Source organism: Homo sapiens, chromosome 18 (genome assembly GCF_000001405.40).
Source record: "Homo sapiens chromosome 18, GRCh38.p14 Primary Assembly".
NCBI lineage: Eukaryota > Metazoa > Chordata > Mammalia > Primates > Hominidae > Homo > Homo sapiens.
Window position 1 is genome coordinate 33,978,229 of NC_000018.10, and position 27,374 is coordinate 34,005,602.

General features: G+C 34.7%; 1 protein-coding gene across 31 annotated transcripts in view, besides 1 other annotated feature; it reads right to left on the bottom strand.

Moving 5' to 3' along the window:
* NOL4 (nucleolar protein 4) overlaps nucleotides 1-27,374 on the bottom strand; it is a 373,814-nt gene that overhangs the window by 127,129 nt on the left and 219,311 nt on the right. The gene's annotated exons all lie outside the window — the stretch shown is intronic.
* Nucleotides 25,375-26,055: an enhancer, noted in NCBI's record as "NANOG hESC enhancer chr18:31583567-31584247 (GRCh37/hg19 assembly coordinates)". NCBI's record gives its function as "activates a minimal SCP1, AML or CMV promoter by ChIP-STARR-seq in primed H9 embryonic stem cells {active_cell/tissue: H9 hESC(primed)}" and the evidence as "EXISTENCE:reporter gene assay evidence [ECO:0000049][PMID:30033119]".

Here is a 27,374-nt window from a genome sequence, read left to right on the forward strand (position 1 = left end):
ACCTTTTCTAGAAATTTCATATGCATATATCAAAGTGACTGATACCAGTATATACCAGTACAGACAAAGAGTCTTGCGAAGGTAGAGTAGGATAGGAAAAATGGCCAAATTCTGGCCAAAGGAGAGACTTGGGTGTCAAGAGAAAGAGCTAGTGAGTGTAGTATTCCATTAGTCAGGTCTCTACTGATGATACTTTTTCTCTTCCATAAGAAGGATTTATCTTCTAAATTACTATTTTCTTATCTGTCCTAGTTACAAGAAATTAAGCTTCCTTGAGAACTTATGAAATTCCTTGAGGAATTATAACTGCATGAGTTATTGATACAAAGCAAGCACCCAAGATATTCTGGGTTTGTTTATTAAGTATTAATTTAGATGTATAATGTCATCCCTCAGTACCAGGGGAGACTGGTTCCAGGACCCCTGCTGATACCAAAGTCTGTGAATACTCAAGTCCCTTATATAAATGGCATAGTATTTGCATACTACCTATGTACATCTTCCTCTGGACTTTAAATCATCTCTAGTACTTATAATATCTAATATAATATAAATGCTATTTAAATAATTATTATATTTTTGTTTCTATCATTTTTATTGTTATATTGTTAATTTTAAGTTTTTTAAAAAAATATTTTTCATTTGAGGTTAATTGAATCCATTGATGTAGAACATGTAAATAGGGAGGTTCAACTACAGGGATAGAGCAAGTGCTTAATAAATCCTGGTGTATAATTGTTTGGGCAATATTGATGTTTAACTGTGGAGTGAAAAAGAGGATCTGAACTATAAATTTAAATTAAATAAAGGCTAATAGAAACACAGACTATTTTACTTTGACATTTACTCTTGAAGGTAGGTATGTGAGAAATGGTTGATTGTAGAGCTTTGGTTTTTAATATATAAAACAGATGAATGTTTAGATTATAGAGGTAAAACCTTAGAAGGAAGACTCAAATAGACACTATCACATGCTTGTTCATAAGGACCAGGACAAAACATAAACAAAGTCACCCCCCATTCCCCTTTAGAGGTAGTAACAGAAGGATGAGAGGGCAAAAAGAAGACAATGATAACTAAAATATGACAATATTCTTTACAGTTATTTTATTGAAATTTGAGATTTATTTATGCTTAAGCAACATGCCAGATACAATATTATCCTTTAAAATTGTAAATTAAATTTTCTGACTATTTTTTAACCTATTTATAAAATGTCTTAACCATATTATCTTATTCTACCTCTAGTTAAGTGCAAAATAATGTACTACTTGGTAAAGACACATCTTAAATTATGACATTAAAAATACTATAACAGGTCCACAATCCTTTATTTAGAGCTCTTGGTACCATAAATGTTGAGGAACTTAGAATTTTTTTTTTGTATTTAGAAATAGCATGTGGAGTATAAATATGTACTTTGAAATACTCCAAAAGCATCCTATAAAATATATTGATATTTCTCCAGAAAATTATGTGAGTATTTACACTAAAATGGATAAAGACCATAAAAAACTTTCATTCTGGTTAGCTTTTGCCAAAAAATTAGTTTGCCACAAACTTATGCAAAAGCTTTAATTTCTCAGAGCCATTTGAATTTTAGAATTATGGAAAGGGAACTGTCGGCTCATAACACCATAAATTATTCAGTGTTTAAATTAGATATTGCTTCTGACCTGCCTCATAAGAAAGCAATTTTAATGAATTACAAGTATTTAAATGCCACAAAATTTTCAAACAATTATTATATAGTGTATTCAAAACCAATGTTTTTGGTGGTTTCCACTCCAACATATAAGGAGCTTAGTTGTTGCCACTCCATCCTAACAACTAAAAAGCTAAACAGTTGAAAAATAAACAATTTTTGGATTTGTCACAGAAGTGAGGTTCTAGGTCAGATTGCTATTCAAAAAATCAGACAGACAAACAGGTAGATAGAGAGAATCACAACTCACTAAAGCAGAAACCCACATCCATGGGAACCACTATTGGAGAAGGAAAACCTAAATTGTAATTGACAAATTTCTGGAAGCTCAGTGTGATGGACAAGCCTGAAAAGGAAAAACTCCAAGGAAACTTAGAACTTAGTCATAGAGCTGTCCTCACAAGTTGTGAGCTTTTACCTCCAAGAATTTCTACCAAGTTTTTAACAGTGAATATCAGATAAAAATACCCTTAGGCTTATAGCAAAAGGAGGGGAAAAGTAACCATTTTGAAACATGCCAGAGCATTCTGTTCTTTCCGGTTATTAAGAGAAATTATTTTACCAGAGCCTAAATTGCTGTGGTTTTATTAGAGTCCAGTTGAGTTGGAGGAAGAAAATTACCCAACTCTAGCCTGCTCTAGGCATCCTGTACCACCAAGAAGAGTGGAAAGACAATAAAAGAGAAAAACTGAGAAGCATTTGTGAAAGTCACAGTCTAGTGTCCAGGTTTACTAAAGACTAAGACCTAATCAAAGGGCTATAGGATGCTTCCCCTCCCATGAAACATCTTACAAATATATTACTAAAGACCTGTTTATCTCATTTCCTTTTACCAAGAACATCATGTATTCCTTCTAACAAAAATTTACAAAGCACACTAAAAGGCCAAAAGCATAACATGAAGAGACAGAACAAGCATCAGAACCAGACGCAGGTATGGCAGGCATGTTGAAATTATCATGCAATAAATTTAAAATAATCATGATTAATATTCTGGGGAATCTAATAGAAAAACTAGACAACATACAATAACTGATGGATAATGTAAGCATAGAGATAGAAATTCTGGGATAGAAATTTTGAGAAAATTAAAAAAATGCTAGAGATAAAAATATTGTAACAGATACTAAGAATGCCATTGATAGGCTCATTAGTAGACTGGACATGGCTGTGGAAAGAATCTCTGAGCATGAGGATATGTCAATAGAAACTTTCAAAACTGAAAAGCAAAGAGAAAAATTCTGAATAAACAGAACAGAATATGTAAGAACTGTGGGATAACCACAAAAGGTATGAAATATACATAATTAAGATAGGAAAAAAAGAGAAAAAACAGAATCTTTGAAGCAATGACTGAAATTAAAAAAAAAAATGTCAAACACCACACCACAGATCCAAGAAATTCAGAAAACACCAAACAAGAAAAATGTGGGAAAAACTACACCTAGCCTTATTATAGTCAAACTACAGAAAATTAATGATAAAGAAAAATCTTGAAAGAAGCCAGAAAATACAACAACTTAGCTAGAGAGGAGCAAAGATAAAAATTACATCTGACTTCTCAGAAACGAGGCAAACAAAAAGATTGGAGTGAAATACTTAGTGATGATTAAAAAAGCCCCAGCTAACTAGAATTCTGTATCTTGAAAAATAATCACTCAAAATGAAGGAGGAATACTTTCTGAGACTAAAAAACAGAAAATAATAAGAGAATGTGTTACCAGGAGACCTGGCTTGCAGGAGATGTTAAAAGAAGCTCTTTAGATTGAAGGAAATAATATAGGTTAATGACTTGGACTTATTTTTTCAAAGAGCATTAGAGGAAGCATAAGTGGAGGTCAAATAAAAATATTTTTTCTCATTCTTAATTATCTAACAGATAAAACTGTGTTTTAATAATACTAGCAACAATCGTACAATAACCATAGTTTATCTATAAATGAAATGTGTGATAACAAGAACATAAGAGAAGTGAGGGAAGAATTAGGAGTATTTCGTTATAGGGTACTTGTACTACTCATGAATCTATATAGTCTTATTTGAAGGTGGTCTTGAGTTCATTGTGAATGTCTATTGCAAACTCTAGAGCAAGCACTAGAAACAGTAAAAATAAAAATATAATTGATACGATAAGAAAGGAGAGAACATGGAACCACATAAAATGCTCAAATAAAATTGCATACGGCAGGAAAAGAGGGCAAGACAAAAACAGGAACAAAGAACAAAGGCAATGAATAGAAAACAGTAACAAACATAGTAGACATTACTCAAACTATATTAATAATCCCTCCGAATGTCAATGGTCTAAATATACCAATGAAAGAACAGAGATAGTCAGAGTGGATCAAAAATCAAGATCCAACCACATGCTGTCCACAAGAAGCCCAATTCAAATATAAATACTCATGTAATTTAAAAATAAAGGAATGAATAAAGATACACCATGCTAATACTAATCAAGAATGCTGGAGTAGCTATACTAATTTCAGATGGAGCAGACTTCAAAGCCAGAAGATTTATCAGGGATAAATAAGGATATTACTTAATGATAAATGGGTCAATTCTCCAAGAAGACAGAACAATCTGTATTGTGTATGCTCCTAACAACAGAGCATCAAAATATATGAGGCAAACACCAACAGTACCACAGGGAGAAATAGATTAGTCTGTTATTATAGTTTGAGACTTCAACAAATGTTAGAAATGGACATATCCAACAGGCAGAAAATCAGTAAGGACACAATTTAACCCAAGATATCCTTCAGCAGGTGGATGTGTAAATAAACTGTGGTATATCCAGACAATGGGATTTTTTTTTTTTTTTTTTTTTTTTTTAGACAGAGTTTCACTCTTGTTCCCCAGGCTGGAGTGTAATGGTGCGTTCTCGGCTCACTGCAACCTCTGCTTCCCGGGTTCAAGTTATTCTCCTGCCTTAGCCTCCCACGTAGCTGGGATTGCAGGCATGTACCACCACACGTGGCTAATATTTTATATTTAGTAGAGATGGGGTTTCACCATGTTGGTCAGGTTGGTCTCGAACTCCTGACCTCAGGTGATCCACCTGCCTCTGTCTCCCAAAGTGCTGGGATTATAGGTGTGTGCCACTGTGCCCAGCCCAAGAATCTTAAATGCATATTACTAAGTGAAATAACACAATCTTAAAAGCTACATACTATATGATTCCAATTAAATGACATTCTGAAAAAAGGCAAAACCATGGAGACAGTAAAAAGATCAGTGGTTGCCAGGGGTTAGGGGGAGGAAGGGATAAATGGGCAGAGCACAAAGGATTTTAAGATACTGAAACTATTTTATATGATACTATAATATAAGTATACACTTGTCAACAGCCATAGAATGTACACTACTGAGCATGAACCCTAATGTGAACTATGGACTTTAAGTGATGATAACGTGTCATTGTAGGTTCACTGATTATAACAAATGTACCATTCTGGTGAGGGATGTTGATAGTAGAAGAGTTGGTATGTGCATGTGGAAATAGGAGGTAGATGAGAGGTATACATAGGTGGTATAAACACACGCACACACATGCACACACACAGATACACACACATATATATGTATACACATATTTATGAAACCAAATATAAATATTAGGTATATGTATGTGTATGTATAAATATATATAAATAGGAGGTGCATACACACATATATGCACACATATACACATATATGCACACATATGTATATACACATATACACATATATGTAAACATGCATAATATATATTTACATATATATTTAAACATTGTTGCTTTCAAACCACTCACTGAATCTTTGGCTTTCTTTTTCACTCTTCCCTCACTTTTTAAAAATATTCTTTAACATGAAGTTAAACCAAAAGCTTAGTTGCCCTTTTGCATTCATGTTAGATTGAATCATACAGACTTGTTATATGAGTCAAAAAAAAGTCAAATATTGACAATTTTAAGTAGTACTAATTAAAAATTAACAATAGAAAAAATAGTAAAAATCTAATGCCTAATTTACAAAGTAATGTATTAAAGATGATGTATTTCTTTGCTTGCACATAATTTGAGACAGACTAAAGAAATCATTTGGGTTTCAACCAAGATATAGCCTGTGAAAAAATATTTTCCAGGATCATAGGAAATCGAGTCCTCATACCTTACATGTGAGAGGGTCAAAAAAAATGTTTTCTTGATTAGGGCAATATCTAGTCAACAACAAAGAAACTAAGGAGACATTATTTCTTTACCAACAAACGAAATCTCAATACATTCATAGTACACAACAAATTATGAAGAAATAGAATGCAGAATGAGTATTGATCTAATTTTCACTCATATCTTACCCTAGGGTCAAATATACAGTGAAATATACCTCAGGATAGACACCATATATATCAGACTTACATAGAAATATCCCTCTAGGTTGGTGCATGAGAATTTGCAAGCTTCCCAATGCTATAATAGTTGATAGGTTTTGGATCTGTGTCCCCACCCAAATCTCATGTTCAATAATAATCCCCAGTGTTGGAGGTGGGGCCTGGTGGGAGGTGACTGGATCATGGGGGTGGTTTCTCATGGTTTAACACCATTCCCCCTTGGTGCTATCATCACCATAGTGAGTTCTCATGAACTCTGGTTGTTTGGAAGTGTGTGGTACCTCCCCTCCTCTCTCTCTTGCTCCTGCTCTGGCCATGTAAGACGTCTGCTCCCTCTTTGCCTTTCAGCCATGAGTAAAAGCTCCCTAAGGCTCTCCAGAAGCAGATGCTGTCCAGCCTGAGGAAGTGTGAGTCAATTAAAGCTCTTTCCTTAGATTAACCCAGTCTCAGGTAATTCCTTATAGCAGTACAAGAATAGACTAATACACTGGTCAATTTTATCATTTGAAGTAAAACAATACAAAACAACAATAACACAAAACCTAGTGAATTCTACATTTTTTCGACTCTGGAAAAGGGTGATATGGCCTCAAGATTTTACAAAGTGTTAGCATTTGTACAAGGACTATCTTTAACTTAAGCAATCACATTCCCCTTCCCCCTTTTGTTATTTGTGTGACCTTGGACGATTTATTTTACCTAAGTCTGAGATCCTTCATTAAAAACAGAATAATAACAGTACCTACCTCACAGGATTATAATGAGGAATAAATGAGATAGTGTTTCAGAACAAAAACTGATCAAAAATTATTTCCCAAAGAAAAAAGATGATATAATGCATCAAATGAGTAACATTAACTATTTTAACAATTAGCTTTAAAACTTTCTTAAAAATTTAAAGAAGCAACTCTAAATGTTTACCACAGTTGTAAAATCTCACACGAGGTTATTTTTGAGGGTAATGTTTTCGACACCTGAGGAATTCAGGAATCTAAAAGTATTTGGTGAGGCAGCACATATCCTCTGACCAATGGGGAAATAAAACCTTGATAGGCACATAATTGTGAGTTTCTAAATATCTTAATTTCCAGTATTTTGATTACATAAAATGTTATCAAGTATTTCACATTTTGTTTGTGTTTTTCAATCCTATACAAATTATTTTATGTCATCTATTGAGAGGATGAAACTTTCAGGACCATCACTTTTGCTTACCAATGATTTATTATCACGGTTAGACCTGATCCTCAAAAATCGCCTTTTAGTCACTCCAATTTGTTTTTCCTCTAGGCTAATAAGAAAAGACCCTCATGTCTTGTCTTCCTCAATATTTTCTATTATAGCAAAACCCACTAACTGTCACAATAGGGGTGAAATAAAGTGCTATCAAAATTTTTAGTTTTGTAGCAAATGCTGTACATTCAGCAGATTAGTGGGTAAAGTTTTATCCATAATCTATCTTTGTTGTATGTTGGGAAAGGCATGAAATACAGAAGTAGATTTAAAATGAATGCAAAGTTCTGACTTCCTTAATCTCTCTAAATCTATTGCCTCATCATAGACTTGAGCCGAGAGTAATCAAAGAGCCAATGGTTATCACCTACTTACATTTTACAGATGAAGAAATTGGGATATAGATATGTAGATGAATAAATAATCACTAGAAATGGTCATAAACTTTTCATCAAATAAACCTCTTGGCTTTATAGAATATGCCATTTATGAAAATAAAATGATTTGGCTTTATTCTTTAGCCAAAGTAAAATAAAATAAATCAAGGAAGAAAAGCAAGTGTGCCTGATACGAACTTTCTAATTATGTAAATCAACAAGTACTTTATGAGGCAAACCATGTTATATTCTCTTATATTTATGAATTTGAAAGTAATATTTGTTAAAAACTGTAATTGTGGCTATTCAATATATTGGTTTGAAATCCAGTATTGATCTATTACTTTTTGGACAAAAGCAAATAATATTGTTTTATTTTACAACTCAGAGGAACTGTAAACCAAAGTATAATGTAAAGGTGTCAATTTACATGAAACAGAATAGTCCAAACAGCTAAATAAATAACTAAATATGCCCTTGAACTTTTTATAAAAACACAAATGGGCAGAAGGCATGTATAGTGTGGATACACTGGACAAAGGGAGGATTCACAACTCAGGCAGGACTGAGAGGATCAGCACAAAATTTCACCACACTACTGAGGACAAAGAATGGTTTAAAACTCATGAATTGTTTATTTCTGAAATTTTGCATTCAATATTTTTGGACCATGGTTAACCCCAGATAACTGAAACCATGGAAAGCCAAACCAAAGATCGGGGGACTACTGTAGAGTCACTGGAAAGAATTACCTGCCAGAATGCAAAATGATATAGCCACTTTGACAATCAGTTGGGCATTTTTAAAAAATGTAACATATGTTTATAGAATCAAAAAAAATCTCACACTTATTTACCCAAAATAAATGAAAACATAAGTTCACACAAAAACCTGTTTGTAAATGTTTACAGCCACTTTATTTATAATTGCAAAAAAACTGGAGAAAGCACAAATGTGCTTCAGTTGGTAAATAAATTGTGGTAGATCCATATATTGCGATACTAATCAGTAGGTACTGTGTGAGTCAACTGATCTGACATTCTGAAAAAGGCAGAAATATAGAGACAAAAAACAGGTTAGTGATTGTCAGTGGGTAGGGATTGGGGCAGGCATGTACTCCAGAATGGAAAGTGGGAATTTGGGGGGATATTTTTTGGGATTTTATAGTGAATCTTCTCTATATCTTAATTTGTTGGTAGTTATACAACTATATATGGTTGTTAAAACTCATAGTACTTTACACTAAAAATGGTGAATTTTGTTGTATATAAAGTATACCATAAAAGCTAGACTGAAAAATAACACTAGGGCCTATTTGCTTTGGGGGATAGGGGCTGAAATGACCGTGATCATGATCGGAGCTTGGAAAGTACATCATACAGCAGTTGGAAAGTGACCCTGAAAGCTTCACAGAAGCATGCCATAGATGAATGACACTTGATCACGAGAATGACTGGAAAGCATTCACTAAAGCTTCTAGGAATGACATGGGGAGGAGAACAGCAGGGGAAAACAATTCACTCCCTGACTAAGTAGGAGCTCAGAACTGTTATGGTTTGCACAATAATGAGGCAAAGCCTGTTTTTGTGGTCTTAAGCTGGAAAAGAATATAATTATCCCATATTTGATCCTTTGCAGCACACAATGTGTGTTTGGATTTAGAATCTGTGATAATCCTCATTCCAAAAGCAACGATAACTGCAGGAAAGTATCAGTGTTCTCATTTTTATAAATGAATTATATGAGACAAAGAAAGATTAAATAATTAACCCAAAGTGACAAAGGTATTAGAGCCAGGATTTATTCCTAGGTCTCCTGAATCTAAACACTGTTCTTTTCCCAGTATACGGTTGATCTCCTATGGACTAGCAGCCACCTAGAAGGAAGGGCATAGCAGTAGGTAGGCACCAGTGGGCAGGCTGAATTGAGGAGACTTGGAGCCACCCTGATGTCCCAATGCATACTGAAGCCAGATGATTTCTGCTTTTATCAGCGGAGCTTGGTGAAGTGAAAGCACCCTCCCCACTCCACATACACTACCCTACTACTTTCCTAACCAAAGAAGAAAATCAAGAACCAAGAAGAAACTCGTCATTTCCTGCCATTTTCCTGGAGGAGGTCAAACACAGGGGGAAGGGCTCACTTAGCATATGAAGTCTTGGGTTTCCAGGTTAGAAAACAAGGTCCAAATGTTTTTAATGAAATATGAAATTCTTATGCAGGCCATAAGGTTGTTTTTGAAAAAGAAAAACACTGTCATAGGGCAAGGTGTAATTGACTCTACACTTCGGAGGAAATTAAACCCTTAGCCAGAGAAGTAAAATGCCTACTGTCAATATTATTCCTCCACTCTTCCCCACCCCAAGAGGCTATCACTAGACCTCCCTACTTCTATACATGGGAGTGGCCATAAAACCAGACAAAGGTGGAGATTTCAGTTTCAGAGGATGCTAGAAGTGTGAAATGTTCAAACATAAAAAGATACTTGAGACCTGATCATTTCTTTTGGGAAAGATTACTCAACCCAGGAAATGGTCCAAACTATGAAACCCTGTTCATGTAAGAAGATGCAGGAGAGGTGGGGGCAGCTCCTCTTTCATAGTTACTCTCCTCATGGGCATGAGATTCTTTGTGGACTCTTGAAACACAAAAAGCATTCCCCCACTGATTACTATAGATTTGGAGGCAGTGAGGCTCAACCCAGTATAGATGATGTAGATTGACACAGCTGAAGAGTGAGTAAAATTGATTACCTGGATGCAGACACTTGTTTCCCGCCCCCACCCAAGATAGCCAGATATGCATCCTCTGGGGAAGGAAAAGAAGACATCTACACCACATGGTATATACACTGTATATATTGGAATTCTGTCAAAGACAAAAAAAGGCCTTGAAAGCCTCTATATTTTACCTTCTTCCTTTTCTGCGGGCAATGGAACCAAGTACAATTTGGAAATTTTTATCAAGTTATTTAAAATAGAGGTTTAAAATTATTGGCAAGACTGGGCACAGTGGCTCATGCCTATAATCACAGCATTTTGGGAAGCCAACTGGAAGACTGCTTGAACCCAGGACTTTGAGACTGGTATGGGCAAGATAAAAAAGCCCATTTCTACAAAAAATTAGCCAGGTATAGTGGTGCACACCTGTAGTCTCAGATATTTGGGAGGCTGAGGTGGGGAGGATCAACTGAGCCCAGGAGGTCGAGGCTGCAGTGAGCCATGATCACTCCATTGCACTCCAGCCTAGGTGACAGAGTGAGACCCCATCTCTACAAAAAAAAAAAAAAAAAAAAAAAAAAAAATCATTGGCAAGTCATTCTGAATGAAGGCCTAAAATATAGGCTGGTTAGTGATATTAAAGGGATACGCTGCCATTCACCATTGCATCCTAGTAAGTTGAATGGTGGCATTTGTTAATAATTATGAACCAGCTGAGTAAAAAAATACGAAAAATTTATAGCATACATGTATTTACACAAGACAATGAAAATAGCTTGCTAGAAACCAAGCCAAGAGATAACTTTTAATACAGCATCTATTGAATGGTTATTGTGTGGCATTAGAAAAAGAAAGATTCAATTTTGTAAAGAGTAGCCCAAATGAAGATCTACTAAGGATATTTGCTTAATCTTTTTATAATATTTATTTTCTGTAGAGACAGAGGGAAGATGACATTCTCATGCTCAGCATATTTCAAAGATTGAAGCCAAATATTTATAGAGCACGAAGCAGGTTTTTAAGGAATTACTAGGGAAGTATAACAATTCATCATTCATAATAAAAGAGTTGATGTTAGTAAAGCTATTAGAATAGTTCCTGGCATATTAAAGCACTGTGTAAATGTCTGACAAAATAAAAGGTATTACCATACCTGTGTTACAATTTCCTTACTGTTACTTCATTATAGCTGTGACATGATCATTATGCCCTATATAGCACGTGCAATGTTCATTAAACAACGTATAACTCCTTTAGTCTTATCTCCCACTCATGATCACATATCAGAATATAAATGAGTTGATTATTTTGTTTACCAAATATTTATTGAGCACCTGTTATGTACCAGGCTCTGTTCTAGAGGCTGAGGTGTAGTAGCAGACTAAAACACAAGATCCTGTTCTCATGGGAAACTATCTTGTACTAGGGAGGGAAGATAATCAAAAACAAGTAAGCAAGATAATTTTAGACTTTGAAGTGTATGATGAAAAATCAAATAAGGTATTGTAATTGTGACAGGAAGATAAAGAAGTTGTCAGTTTTAGTGACAGCAAAACAACTTTACAAAATAACCTCTCTTAGAAAATAGAAGTGAGCTATTTTTTTGTATCTCACATCAGATCATAACTGGTCACTACCCAAAATGTACACACTTCACTCATTCTCTGAAACATCCTATTATGCTGTATATCTTTCACATAGGTTACCTCCTCTGACTCCCAGATCTTCCAGCTGTACCCTCTGAAACCACCCCCTTCCATAGCAGACACATCTCTTTGTCCCCTTAATTTTTGTAGAACAGAACATGCTTCCTGTTTCTCCTTGCCATATGTTGAACCTGGCCTTCCCTGAGTCCCTGCCTTATTTGTGCAGTTTGTCGATTTATACTGCATGGTTGTCCAAATCCTACAAATTGCCAAGGTCTAGACATTGGGCTGCTATACTCCTAGACCTACACTGCCCCTTACAGCCATTTATTCTTCTACAGTTACGTGAAAATAACTCTTCCTTTGAAATCTGTGTTATCCAATTAAACAGTCCCTGCTCCTGCCTCTTTATCATTTACCTATTGTCCACTTCCCAGAATTTAAAGAAGTACTTATCACCTAGCCCACAGTCTTCCTTTCCATCCTAAATGGCATCCCTGTCCTGAGTGAATTCCATGTCCTTAAACAAATATCTGGTCTAGTAATTCCACATACTCCTCAATTCAAATGACATTCATTTTCATGCCATTTCAGCCAGACAGGCTTAAGCTCATATCCTAGATCTTGTTATCATAATGAATGCTTTTTTAAAAATACAAAATCTGAATTTTCAATTATCTAATTAAAACTTACTCTATTTACAAACTTTCAATATCTTATACCCGCTATGCCTGTTACCTGCCTTCATAAAGGTGTCCAATTCTTTGGGTCAAATTTCTCCCAATCTACCAGTCTCTGCTCACTTTCATTTTCTTCTCATTCAACTTAAATATTTAATTATATCCTTAAGCATCCTCTCACCGATATCCACAACTAGCTTACCCCTCCACCTCTAGCTGACTCCAATATGGAAAACATCTGTTCTCTATCAGTCTGACTCTACCACCCATTGAACCTGCCACAGAGTTTGGGAAACTTACCTATTATATTGCTCAACATTTCTTGGATCTCTCATGTAAAAATCCACCCAACTGAAACTTTATTTATAAGTGAATGTATATTTTTATTTTAAATTGCACATTGCTTCAAAATATAATGGTAGAAATAATAAAAATAAACTAAATGTTTTTATTTCTACTGTTTAACATCTACTCTGTTGACAGCCATTAAATTATCTTGTATACTTGGTTTCTCTGGGATACAACAATTAATCCTATCTTATTATTTTTACAGTGAAATGATTACACTGCATTTTTTTTACAATTGTGGTGTTGGTGAGTGCTATTCTATGTGTGCTGACAGAGGTGAGATAGGGAGGGGAATTATAAATGGATCAATGCATCAGAATTACCATTAGCTAATTACTCTAGCCCTGTGGCTCCCATATAATAGCAGCTAGCCACATGTACCAATTTAAATTTAAATCAGGTAAAATTAAGTAAAATTAAAAATTTTGTTCTTGAGTCATACTAACCATATTTCCCATGCTCAATAGCCACACATAGCCAGTGGTGGCCATACTAGACAGAGCAGAGCATTTCTGTCATTTGCAAACCTTTCTATCGAACAGTGTTGCTCCAGCTAAACTGAATTCTATACTGTACATGGATAGGTTATCAATAGGAGGCATAAAATGAGACAAAATGAAGTCCTAGGTTTTTGTACTTTTGATATATCTGCAAATAAAATTAATAAAGTTACAGATTCAGAGGTTAATTCCCCCATAAGCATGTGCATAGATCTTCTTTAAATGTTAACAGGAGAATGTTAATGATAGATACTCCAGTACAACATGAGAATGGTTTTTATACTTTGGAAATCTATTTTCTCTCCATTCTGATCTACTTAACCTGAAATTTTGCTTGGCATTTGCATAACTAAGTTGTGATTTATAAAATTAAATAAATTCACATTCTAACGTTTCAACCCTAAATCTATTTTTCTTTTGTAGTCTAAATTCAAAATGGTGTAAGATATACTGATACATTTCCCTAAAAATGTATTGAACAGTTAACAATTATGGATGTCTTTTTAAATTACTTAATTTCACTTCTCAAGAGTTAACAGGCCAGATCAACACTGTTATGACAGCATGAAGAGCTCTGTAGACCCATACCTCAGCAAAATTGGTGAAAATTATAAAACATACAACGAACAAAAAGTCTCTGGAAGTCATCCTAAGGACATACAGTAAATGAGGAAACATCTATTCAAAAATAACAGCTAAGATTTAGTAATAACAGTGAGAGTCTGTGGTATTTGAACCAAGATCACTCTCACAACAACCCCCTTCCAGTTGAGACAGAAACTTCACTCTACACTGATGTAGCAAAAATTCAAAGCTACCAGTAAGAGGGCTATCTACCCAGGAGGGGCAAGATCTCAGCATTTCTCATCTGGCATTCAGCTCCTTATTGCTAAAGCCAAGTTCTAGGTAAATGTAGTCAAAGTGGGAGCACATCTCTTTCAATCAGGCTTCACTCATAGAATGAAAGCTTCACCTACACTAGAGCTCAGTTCCTAAGGTAGAGGTGTCAGTTGGAGAGAAGTACGTCATTGTCCTCACTCCCAGCTCCGGAGACTTTGCCTGGGAGGAGAAGGAGACCATAATGTAGCACTTAATCTCTTACTAAAGGAACTAAATTAATTTGCAACAGAGCAAAGAGAAGTTTTAGGCTAAGGGAACTTCCAAAAACTAAATAGAGGTTTTAGTGGACGGCAACTGGAAGGAGATTGGCAGATTAATTGAAAATATAGACTAAACTGTAGGGCAGTTAAGTTTGCAGGAGAGAACAAGGAAAGAGACAATTAGGAGGTGCCTTCCTGGGGACAGAACAAATCTCAAACACTGACATTGGTAACCATTCCTTCAAAGGCACCTGAGTTTTATTGCCTTAGTCTGTACAGCATTAGTCTGAACAGCAAATTATACTCCAGTGCATTGTTGAAAATAATAGAAATATCAGCCAGTAATTAGTGGCAACTAATAGCTGGGTGTGATTAGAGAAATAAATAGTCTAAGAGAGCTTAACAAAACCACTGTCATCCAGGGTGAGTGTGGGCATACCCAAAGCTCCACTTCCCTGAGAAGCAACATCAGACCCTTAACATGATGTAGTAGAAAGGGAAAAATAGACTTCACTGAAATAATCAAGAAAGTCACTAACCAAATAAACAAGCAAATAACAATAACAAACCCTGTGTTGGGGGTTAGGAGGTGGGAAATACCTGTAGTATTTAAAATGGGAAGTTTCCCACAACAACAACAACAAAACCCTAATATATGCAAAGGAACAGGAAAGTATGGCCCGTATACTGGAAATAAATAGGCAACAGAAACTGTATGAGTGAGCAGATGTTAGGTTTAACAGAATAAGATGTCAAAGTAGCCATTATAAATATGTTGGAAAAACAAAAAGAAGCGATGATTAAAGATGTAAAGGAAGATATGATGAGAATTTCACATCAATAAATAGAAATAATAAAAAGAATCAAATGGAAATTCTGGAGTTGAAAAGTATAGTGATTGTAATAAAAAAATCTACTAGAAGGGATTAACAGTAGATTTGACCTGATAGAAGAAAGAGGAAAAAAAAGAAAACACAAAATACAACTTTTTTAAAAGTGAAACACTTAGATTCAAAGATACAAATATACTGAAAGTAAAAGAATGGAAAAAGATATATAATGAATATAGAAACCATAAAAGGTTGAGTGGCTACATTAATATAAGACAAAATAGACTTTAAAACAAAAAACTGCTACTAGAGATAAAACGAGACATCTTACAATGACAAAATCTATCAGGAAGATATGACAATTATAAACTATATGAACCTAATAATACAGTATTATACCAATAAACAGGAAAAAATAACATCAATGAAAGATGACTAGACAATTAAATAATAATAGATAATAGTTGAAGATTTCAACACTCCACTTCCTGGAATAGATAGAATAACTAGGCAGAGGAACAACAACAAAAACCAGAAGACCTAAAAACAACATTATACTCCAGCTAGACCTAATGGACATTGATAGAACATTCTACCCAACAACAGCAATATATATGTATTCTTTTCAAGTGCATGTGGATCATTCTGCAGGTTAGACAATATTCTAGGACATAAAGCCAATCTTCATGAATGCAAATTTATTGAAATAGTATAAAATGTGTTCTGACTTCAACAAAAATTAAATTAGAAATCACAAACTCACAAATATGTAGAAATTAAGCAATACATGCACAAATAACCAACTGGTCAATAAAGAAATCAAAAGTTAAGTTAGAAAATACTTTTAAGTAAATGAAAATGATGACACAACATACCCAATCTTGTGAGATGCAACTAAAGCAGTGCTTAGTGGAAAATTTCTAGCTGTAGGCACTTATATTAAAAAAGAATAAAGATCTCAAATCAAAAACTGAAAATTCCACCTTAACACACAGGAAAACAAAGGACAAACAAAACGTAGTACAAGCAAAAGAAAGAAAATAATGAAGATTTGAGTGGAAATTAATGAAATAGAGAATAGAGAAACAATAGGCAAAAACGAATAAAATCAAAAGCTGGTTCTTTGAAAAGGTCAACAAAAAGACAAAACTTTAGTAGATCAACAATGAAAAGAAAGAAAAACTAATGTTCCAAATATAAGTGAAACAGGGAACTAACAGAAATAAAAAAGACTATAAAGAATACTATGAACAATTAAATGCCAATAAATTAGTACCTTAGATGACATGGAAAAACTCCTAGAAATACACAAACTACTGAAACTGACTTAAGCATAAGCAATCATGGTAGACATATAAGTGTAGGCACTGAGTTAGTAGTCAAAAACTATTATAAAGAAAAGCCAAGTCCCAAATTGCTTCACTTTTGAATTCTACCAAACGTTTAAAAACAGATGACTATCAATTATTCACTCTTCTAAGAAATAGAAGAAAAGGGAACAGTTGCCAACTTTATGTATGAATTGAATATTACTCTGATACCAAAACCAGCTACAGACATCACAAAGAAAGAAAACTAAAGACTACTATTTTTTATAAATATGGATACAAACATCCTCAACAAAATATTAGCAAACCAAGTCCAGAAGCACATGAATATAATTGTACCTATTATATGATCTACTAAGATTTATTCAGGACTATATTGAATTAATATCTAAAAAACTGTCAATCATATCAACAGAATAAAAATATTGTCTCAATAGACACACAAAAAGCATTTGACAAAATCCAACATCATTTCATGAGAAAAACTTAACAAACTAGAAATCAAAGGGAACTTAATGAATCTCAGAGAAACGTCTACCAAAACCCTTTCTTTCCTTTCTTCTATTGGGTCACATCAAAGTATTTTCTAACTTACCTTTTGATTTCTTCATTGACTGAATGGTTATTTATGAATGTATTGTTTAATTTCTACATATTTTTGAGTTTGCAAATGTCATTTTTTATTGATTTCTAATTTAATTTTTATTGGAGTCAGAACACATTTTGTACTATTTCAATAAATTTGTATTCATGAAGATTGGCTTTACGTCCTAGAATATGGCCTAATTTGGAGAATGATCCATAGCAATTGAAAAGAATACATGTATGTTGCTGTTGTTGGGTGGAGTAGTCTATCCTATTAGGTCTAGCTGGAGTATAATGTTGTTTAAGTCTTCTTTTTGTTGTTGTTATTCTTCTGCCTAGTTATTCTAACCATTCCAGGAAGTAGGGTATTGAAGTCTTGAAATAGTATCTACTTCAGCTAATATCATACTTAATGTTGAAAGACTGGATGAATTAACCAAAGATCAGAATAAAGACAAGGATGCATGCTCTCACTATTTCTATTCAAAATTGTCCTGGAGATTCTAGCTAGTGAAGTTAGATAAGAAGGAGATAGGGCCATTTAGAACGGAAAAAAAAGAAAGAAAACCAACTTTATTCACAGATGACATAATCTCATACGGAGAAATTCCTAAGCAGTCTCCTAAAACTCTATTAGAAATAATTATAGAAAGTTGAAAATGGAAGGATACAAGATTCATATACAAAAATCAATAGTATTTCTGTACATTTGTAATGAACAATGCAAAAATGAATTTTGTATCTATTTATTTTAATTTAAGTCCAAGATTTTTTTTCAAATTTATTTTATAATCAGGGATTACATATGCAGGTTTGTTACAAAGGCATATTGCATGATGCTAAGGTTTGAAGTATGAATGAATCCATCACCAAGGTAGTGAGCATAGTATCCAATAGGTAGCACTTCAACACTTTCCCTCTTCCATCTGGTATTTCCCAGGATCTGTTGCTCTCATCTTTATTTCCATGTGTACCTAATGCTTAGGGCCCACTTATAAGTGAGAACATATGGTCTTCTGTTTTTGTATTAATTTGCTTAGAATAATGGCTTCCAGCTGCAGTTATCTTGCTAGAAAGAAAATGATTTCATTCTTCTTTTACGGCTGCATAGTATTCCATGGCATGTATGTACAATATTTTCTTTATCAAGTCCACTGTTGATGGGAACCTGGCTTGATTCCATGTCTTTGCTATTGCGAATAGCACTGTGATTAACATACAGGTACATATGTCTTTTTGGTAAAATAATTTATTTTCCTATGGGTGTATATATACCCAGTAATGGGATTACTGGGTCAAATGGTAGTTCAACTCTTAGTTTAAGTTCCTTACGCATTCTGGATGTTGAACTTTTGTCAGATGCATAATTCGCAAATATATTTTTTCCAATTCTGTATGTTTTCTGTTGATAATTTATTTTGCTGTGCATAAGCTCTTTAGTTTAACTAGGTTCCACTTGTCAATTTTTGTTGCATTTATTTTTGAGTACTTACTAATTAATTTTTTGCCAAAGCGGATGTCCAGAAGGGTATTTCCTAGGTTTTCTTGGAGAATTTTAATAGTTTGAGGTTTTTAATCCATCTTGGATTAGTTTTTCTGATATGGTGAAAGATAGGTTTCTGGTTTTATTCTTTTGCATATCAACAGCCAATTATCCCAGCAGCATTTGTTGAATGGGGTGTCTGTTCCCTATTGCTTATTTGCATTCACATTGTCAAAGATGGTTGTAGGTGTGTGGCTTTATTTCTGGGGTCTCTATTGTTTTTGATTGTTTTATATATCTGTTTTTGTACCAATACCATGCTGTTTTGGTTAGTGTGGCTCTGAAGTATAGTTTGAGGTGGGGTAATGTGATCGTCTGGCTTTGTTCTTTTTGCATAGGATTGCTTTGACTTTTCTGGTTATAAAAGAACAAAGCCACAAGCATCACATTACCTCACATCAAACTATACTTCAAAGTATACACTTCGCATATATACTTTATATATAAATAAGTATATATACTTTACATAAATATATACACATATACTTTATATATAAATATATACACATATATTTATAGGTAAGTATATATACTCTATATACTTTATATATATACTCCATATATGTAGAAATACCACAAAATGAAAACATATATTCACATAAAAATTTGCACATGAATTTCATAGCAGCATTATTCATAATAGCCAAAAAGTAAAAACAACCCAAATGTCCATCAATTGATAAATAGATAAGCAAAATTTGGTATTGTATAGCTGTACAATGACATATTATTGTCCATTGGGCTGAATAATGAAGGAATGAAATATGGACCCATACTACAAAATGGACAGATCTTAAAAAATAATATTCTATGTTAAAGAAAGCAGTCATAAAGATGACATCATATATGATTCCCTATGTGAAATGTCTAGAATAGAAAAATCTACAGAGCCAGAGGTAGTTTAATGGTTGCTTAGAGATGAGTAAGATGGGAAGAAAGAGAGTCATAGTTAAGGGGTATAATGTTTCTTTGTGAGGTGATGGAAATCAAAAATTAACCATAGTGATGGTTGCATATATCTGCAAGTATACTAAGAACCACTGAAATGTACACTTTAAATTGGTGAATTGCATGGTATATGAATCTTTACAAATAATGCTACTAAAAAAGAAAGAGTTGATGGAATGGGTTAGCCAATTCCCTTTCAATATAAACCATAGATTTGCTTACCTCTTTTTTATCTATATGAAATCACTCTTTTTCTCCATGAATGCTCCCCAGTATTATATACCTTTTGAGGTCAGGAATAACAGATGAAGGAGAAAATGTGATTAACTGCCAGAAGAATATACTGGTGGGCAGAAAAAGAAAGGCCCAGCCTTTTCTTATATTTATGCTATCTATTACATGATTTGTAGAGAAAAAGCTTGCAAAATTATGAATAAACTGACTTGAAAAAGAGAAAATATATGGGGAAACAAAGATATGTGCCCATAGATGGTATATTTTTGGACAACACTTTTTAAATATATGAAAATTAAAAGTTAGTGTTTCAGTAATGAGGCACAGGTTCAGTATGTCCACGTGACAAGTGTTCAATCAATGTTTGCTTGCTTGTCAATTAAATTAATGAATGACCAGGAGATGTGCTACAGAGGATCTGCAGGGAAAACACTTCCATGAGTTTAGTACATAGATGGCCCTTGAAATGTATTTATTTTCCTCCTCACTCTTCTTCCCCTTCCACATGCTTCACTTACATTTTTCATCACCATATACTTATAGTTGCTGAGTAGAATGTAAAAAACAATGTGGAGAGAGAAGACAATGACAGTTTTCTTAAACTGCTTGCTAACAGTCCTTCAGAAAACTTAAAGTAGATTTTGTACAGTGGATTTTTGAGCTGAAGAGACCACCTAGTGCAACTCCCTCATTTTTATGATGTCTAAATTCAGAGAAGTAGGTGTATTGTCCCTCAACACTTTTTTTTGATACAGATAATGCTGAGTTTTTTTTTTTTTTTTTTAGACAGTCTGCTCCATTGCCCATGCTGGAGTGCAGTGGCACAATCATAGTTTATTGGCTGTGTGCTCTAACTCCTGGGCTGGCTTAATCAATCCTCCCACCTCTGCCTCTTGAGTAGCTGGGACTGTAGGTGTGTTCCATCACACCTGGCTAGATAATGCTAATTTTTTTATTTTCTTTTATAATATCTATATACTCACAATAATGGTTACATTGTTATTATGAATATAACACACTAAGAAATATTATAAAAATATAATGTTATTTTCTAAGGCAATTATGAATGTACATATAATATGTTTATTGACTAGTATCTTTATGAGCTTATTTTTATAGGTCAATGTTTATTGGTAATTTCCTTTACAGGGTTGGGAGTGGAGTACCTGTGTGAGCTGGGACCAGATGTTTCAGAGGAAGATGATGCTGATAATTTTGAGCTGTACAGCGTTATCTCAGGAATGGCAAAGGTGTTCCCCTATGCCATGCTCATGAGACACCTTTCCTTTTTCCCTGAGAGAGTCTTGCTCTGTTACCAGGCTGGAGTGCAGTGGTGCAATCTCGGCTCACTGCAACCTCTGCCTCAAAGGTTCAAGCAATTCTCCTGTCTCAGCCTCCCGAGTAGCTGGAACTACAGGCATGTACCACTATGCCCAGCTAATTGTTGTATTTTTTTAGTAGAGATGGGGTTTCACCATGTTGGCCTGGTTGGTATCGAAGCCCTGACCTCGTAATCCACCTGCCTCGGCCTCCCAAAGTGCTGGGATTACAGGTGTGAGCCACCATGCCCAGCCTGACAACTTTTAATTGATAATTTTTCCTTCTGAGCCAGAACATAATATATCAGCAGGATAGGAAGCCACTAGCAAGTATTTGCAACTAAGACAAAAGATGAAAACTATTTGTCATTTCTAAAATGGAGGATATTCAATTGTCATTCTGACTGGGAACATATCTCATCCAAGAAATCCAGGTTAGGTAGATAACAAATAGTCTTGTAGACTTGTCCAATCATTCGGCATTTATCCTGACTGTCCATGAGGAGTCTAATTTCTAAGAGATAATGTGGTCCGTACAGTCAACCTGCTCAGGAGCTGGCCAGTTGCTCAGAGTGGGAAGCCAGTCAAAAGGCCTATAAAACACAACCTTCTCTTTGCAAGTATTGTAGATTGTCAATGTCAGAATTTCCTTGAATGTTATACTATACCACGATTCAACACTCTGTTGGGTATTTAGGATTCAACTATGAATAAAAACATTGTGTTTGCCCTCAATTTATTTCATTCTAACTATCATAGAGTAAGGAAATTTAAACCTATGTATGTTTTTATACCAGTCTTTTCCTCCCATAGTTCTTTATTTTCCATTAAACTGGCAAAATTCTTGCGGAACATATCAGTCAGTTTCAGTCTTGATAAGAAAGACTAGGAAGAGATTTGCAACTGTAATTGGATCAAGATCTCAATGTCCACATCATATTCTTGAGACCTGGTGATATTCTCCCAAATTAAATCAAAGAATCCCAAAAGGTTAAAACTCTGGACAGTGTAAGCACTTGATAATGTCTCTTCCATCTCAAGGGAACAAAAATATCCATATTATTAATTATGGGCAAAGGTTATCTAAAATACCTCAGTGCCTGGAAACTTCTCTGCAGACAACATAAAATGCTAATTTCTATTTTTTCTACTCAGAAGTACTGAATAATGCTGTTATAACAAAGAAGTTATTAACATTCAAAAACATGACTTAGAGAGAGATGGTGATTTCATACTGAATTATTTTCTAAAGGAATTATAAACATGAATATAGAAAATGTAACAAAAATAAAATGTAAACAGTTTAAACTCTGAAATGGTAGGTCCTCACAGAAAAACAAGAAAGTAAATCTTAAGGAATATGTTCCTATATTTTAGAAATTAGGACAATATATCTTAATGTACATCAACAGTCTCAGTGTAAGAGTGATTGTAATTCAGTTATTCCTAGTAACTATATGATAGATGGTTCAGAAAGCATAATCATTTTTAGTATAGTAGGGTACAATTCAATACAACTTCTCTTTACGTGAATTCTTCCTAAATAGACTGAGATTAGCATGCATTCCAAAGCACTAATTTTTTAGCGCTGCAAATAATGCGAACTACATTTCCTAATCACGGACTGTAGGTTTGTTCTACTACGCAATTCCAAACTACATAATTGTCCTTACCTTTTATTCTTCCCATACCTATAGCATTAGCTAAGAACAATATTCCCTTTGTTACCTTTCAGCTAGTCTGATTTAGTAAACATCTGCTAGAAATTGTGCTAAATATTAATGTCTTAAAGACTTCATAGCCCTGACACAGTCTAAGTAATGGATAGAAGCACACCACGTCAACATGACATGTGCAGGTGCGTGTGTGTCTGTGTTTGTGTGATGGCAAGGGCAGGGTAGAGGGGTGGGGCAGGATAAGGAAAGCAGACACAATGAACTTTCTACATAGAAGAAAAACCTGTTCGATGATGACATTTCTTTTTTTATTATTATTTTTATTTTTAGGCCTGTCAAGTGAAGCAATGGGAATGGACAAGGAATAAAGAAATCTGTAACTGTGTGTGATCAATTAATTGTAAACACCACTGCACTCAGACCAGACAAAGACAATATTTCATAAAGACTGGAACTCAGGTTTCACCATAGAGAGCGTTAAGTGCTAATACTGAAATTAATCATAATACTACATTTAGGTACTGAAGTGGGAAGAATAGAGGGTGCTGTGAAAGCATGGACTAGGAGAGGCAATTATCTTCAAACTGGGTGTCACAGCAGCTTGAGGCCAGTGCCATCCACACAGAAACCTACCTTAGTGACTTGTAGTACCACTCACCCAGGTCCCCATGCCAGAAACAAAGTCAACAAAATACCTTGCTTAGATTATTTCAAAGGCATTTTAAATTGTCTCCTTGACTCCACCTTGGCTCATCCAGTTCTCAACAGTTTTAAAACTAAAATCTTATCCTCACTACTCATAGTAGTGACAATAGTCAAATTTATAAGTATAATTTATAAGGACTTTTGAAATGTGGCCCTCTTTACTTTTTCAGACTCATTTTTTTCCAGTAGCCCCCCCATTCTCCAAGCTCTTGCTGCACTGATGTTCTTTCAGTTCCTCAAACATGCCATGCTTAGGCTTGTCTCCAAGTTTTGTTTCCACCTGGGGCTAGACCTTTAGCTTAGAATGCAAAGCTTCTTTCTTGTCTAGCTCCTACGCATTCTTTAGTTTCCTAATGAGATATTATACCTTCTGGAGAAGAAGTCCTGACTCCCAAGACCCAAACCAGTGTCTTTTCCTGCACTTTGACCATACCATGTCTTCTTGTTCCACCTCCAACGTCTTGCTAATGAACAGCGTGACCCAACCAGATGAGAACCTCTGAGAAAAAGGAACCACCTCCATCTTCTTCACTCTGGTATTTCTAGGTAGCAACACAGTACTTGGCTCACAGGAGAGGCTTAATAAATACTCATTAAATGATAAATAAAATGTAAACACTTTGCATCAAAATGTACTATTAAATAAAAATCTCCAATCTAAATGTTAAATAAGAATTTGCAATACTCATACCAATTAAGTCCCCATTTACTTTCTTATTTATGAAAAAAGGCACTACATGATGACTCAGAATCATTGTGGATTCATGAAAGTTCCATTAAGGGCTCACATTTTACTCTACTGTAATTGAAGTCTGAAGTGACCATGATTTACATTTAAGATAAAAACCTGGGATCATGATGTAGGCATTCTTTAATTCTTTATATGAAACTTGTATGAGTAAACATTATCCCCATTTTTCAAAAAGAGGAGTGCCAGGAAAACCCACTCAAAATCATTCTCTGTGTCCTTGCATAATAATTGTTTTTCTGGAGGTGCAGACATAATTTTACATGTTATTTTTGTTACTTACGTGAGCATTTAGTTCAAAAATCTACCCTTTCTGTGAACTTCTTAAGAACAAGCATTAAAGTACATGATTATCTTCTGGATTTTATTGATATTTCCCAGGGTTCTGAAATTTTCTTCATGTAAGTATGCTGCCTAGTGAGTATCTTTATTATTGTATGTGTTTTATTATAATTATCTATGTAGCTGTCTCACTCAATAGATTGAGCTTTTATAGGGTAGCAACTGCATTTTGTTGATTTTTGCATCCTCAGTGGCTGGCATGATATGTGGCATATCGTACACCCTGAATAAATATTTGTTTAAAAAGTGAAATAAAGTTTACCCTACCACTTTTGCAAATCTAACACTTTGATTATATTAAAAACCTTAAGGATTTAGAAGAGCATATCATTTAGCTTTCTAAAAATGTATATGCAACCACATATTTCCTGCTGCTGGAAATCTTTTTCTTATTAATTTTCCCTGTAAGATAAAGTATAAGCCCTTCAGTATGCATATGATACCTTCTTGTTCTGGCCCCTGCCTTATCTCCTCTCATTACTGCCTCACCTCTGGTATAAGGATGCCCTAGTGCCCATCATTCTCATACACACTTCACACTCTCCTGTTCTTCAGCAAGACTGTTTGGTTATCATTTGCTTCACTTACTGCCTTGTAAACTAAAAATAAAATTCTAAGGCCCTCAACTAACTAACAGATCCTCCCCCTGGCCAAGGGCATTCCAAAGTTAACCTGAAACCTAGTTCAGGGCATGATGGGAAGTGGGGGGTCAGACGTGCCTCATTATACCCTCCTCCCTTTGGAATTCAGGCACAGCTGACCAGCATTAACATCAAAATACAGACCTTAAGACAGATTCTTTAAGTCTGATAAGAGACATTTATAATCTAGTCTCTTTGAAGCCTGCTACCTGGAGGCTTCATCTGCATAATAAAATACTTCCTCTCTACAATCCCTTATCTTAACTCAGACACTACTTTTTATTGATTCCAGGTCTTTAGATAACTCTTTCAATCAACTGCCCATCAGAAAATCTTTGAATCCACCTATGACCAGGAAACCACTCCTCTCCCTTCCAGTTATCCCACATTTACAGACCAAACCAGTGTCCATGTTACATGTATTGATTGATGTCTTATGGCTTCCTAAAAACGTATAAAACTAAGCTGCAGCCTGACCACTTTGGGCACAAGTTCTCAAGCTCGCCCAAGGCTGTGCCATGGGCCACTGGTCACTCATATATGGCTCAAAATAAATCTCTTCAAATATTTTGCAGAGTTTGATTCTTTTTGTCAACAGCATCATTTCATTCATTTATAGTTATAACACATGTAATGACAGCACCTTTTAATTTTGTCTTGGAACAACAGTAAACATTTTAAAGATATTTTTTGTTTTGTTTTCATTTGATTTTCATCACAGTTCCCATATCCTTAACATTTTACTCAGGGCTTAGCATATAATAAAAAGCAAACCTATGTTGATGATTATATAAATAATTTTTTGCAATAAAGATCATTCTCTCATGTTATGGTTAAGTAAACTGAGTTAAAGAGAGATTAACTATCTAAACCCACACACCCTAGTCAAATTAAAATTGCTTCTATTCATTTTTCTGGCTGGAAACTATTTTTCTTTTAAAACCCAGGTAAGGTGACATTTTCAGGAAAATCTTCCCAGACCACCTCAAACTGACATCCCTATTCCTCCTCTCAATAAAATGAATCTTCCTCTTATATTCATGACTTACTTTCAATATTACTTTATTGCACTTATCAGACTGTCATGTTGTAGCAAGTTTAATGTCTCCTTGCTTTTCTTGATGCCTTGGGAGTGCAAACCTATGCTTTTTCCATTTCTGCACTTTCAGGGCTTATTTCCTATTTGGTGCTCAAACTGCTAAATTCAACTGAAAAGTAAATGTTGAGATACCGTGTTAAAATACCAACTTTATCTTATATTTTATTGTTTTAATCATACAGATATTATAACCAAAAGTAATTTAAAAACTAATATAAATGCAATGAATCCTTTTACTACATGTTTTTTCTTTTTCTGAAGAAATCATATATTGGTTCATGCCTCAGTGCTTTGAGATTTGTCCTCCAGGGACATGCAATTCAATGGCCCATTTTGCTTTTCCATCTACTCCATCTCTCTCTGCATCCTTCAAAATGATCCATTGCCATCTTTTCGTGTACTTTGGGACTGGCTATGCTGGATTCTTCCTGTTTTCTGGCTCTCTGCTTCATCTTGATCCTTCATCACTGTTTTCTCTTCTTTCATACATTAGTGAAAGGCTCAGATCTTCTGACTGGCAACTTCCCTTATGGCAACCTGGTGACACTCTTCAGGCCTCTATTTCTTTTCTTTCTGGGCCTCATCCTCACTATTGACCTCACATTGCCAGCTATCAGCCAAAATTAATGGTCCTCTAGCACTTGAAACTCCATAATCTCAAAACTGAGGCTGGCAATGCTCCTGCCCTGGCAATG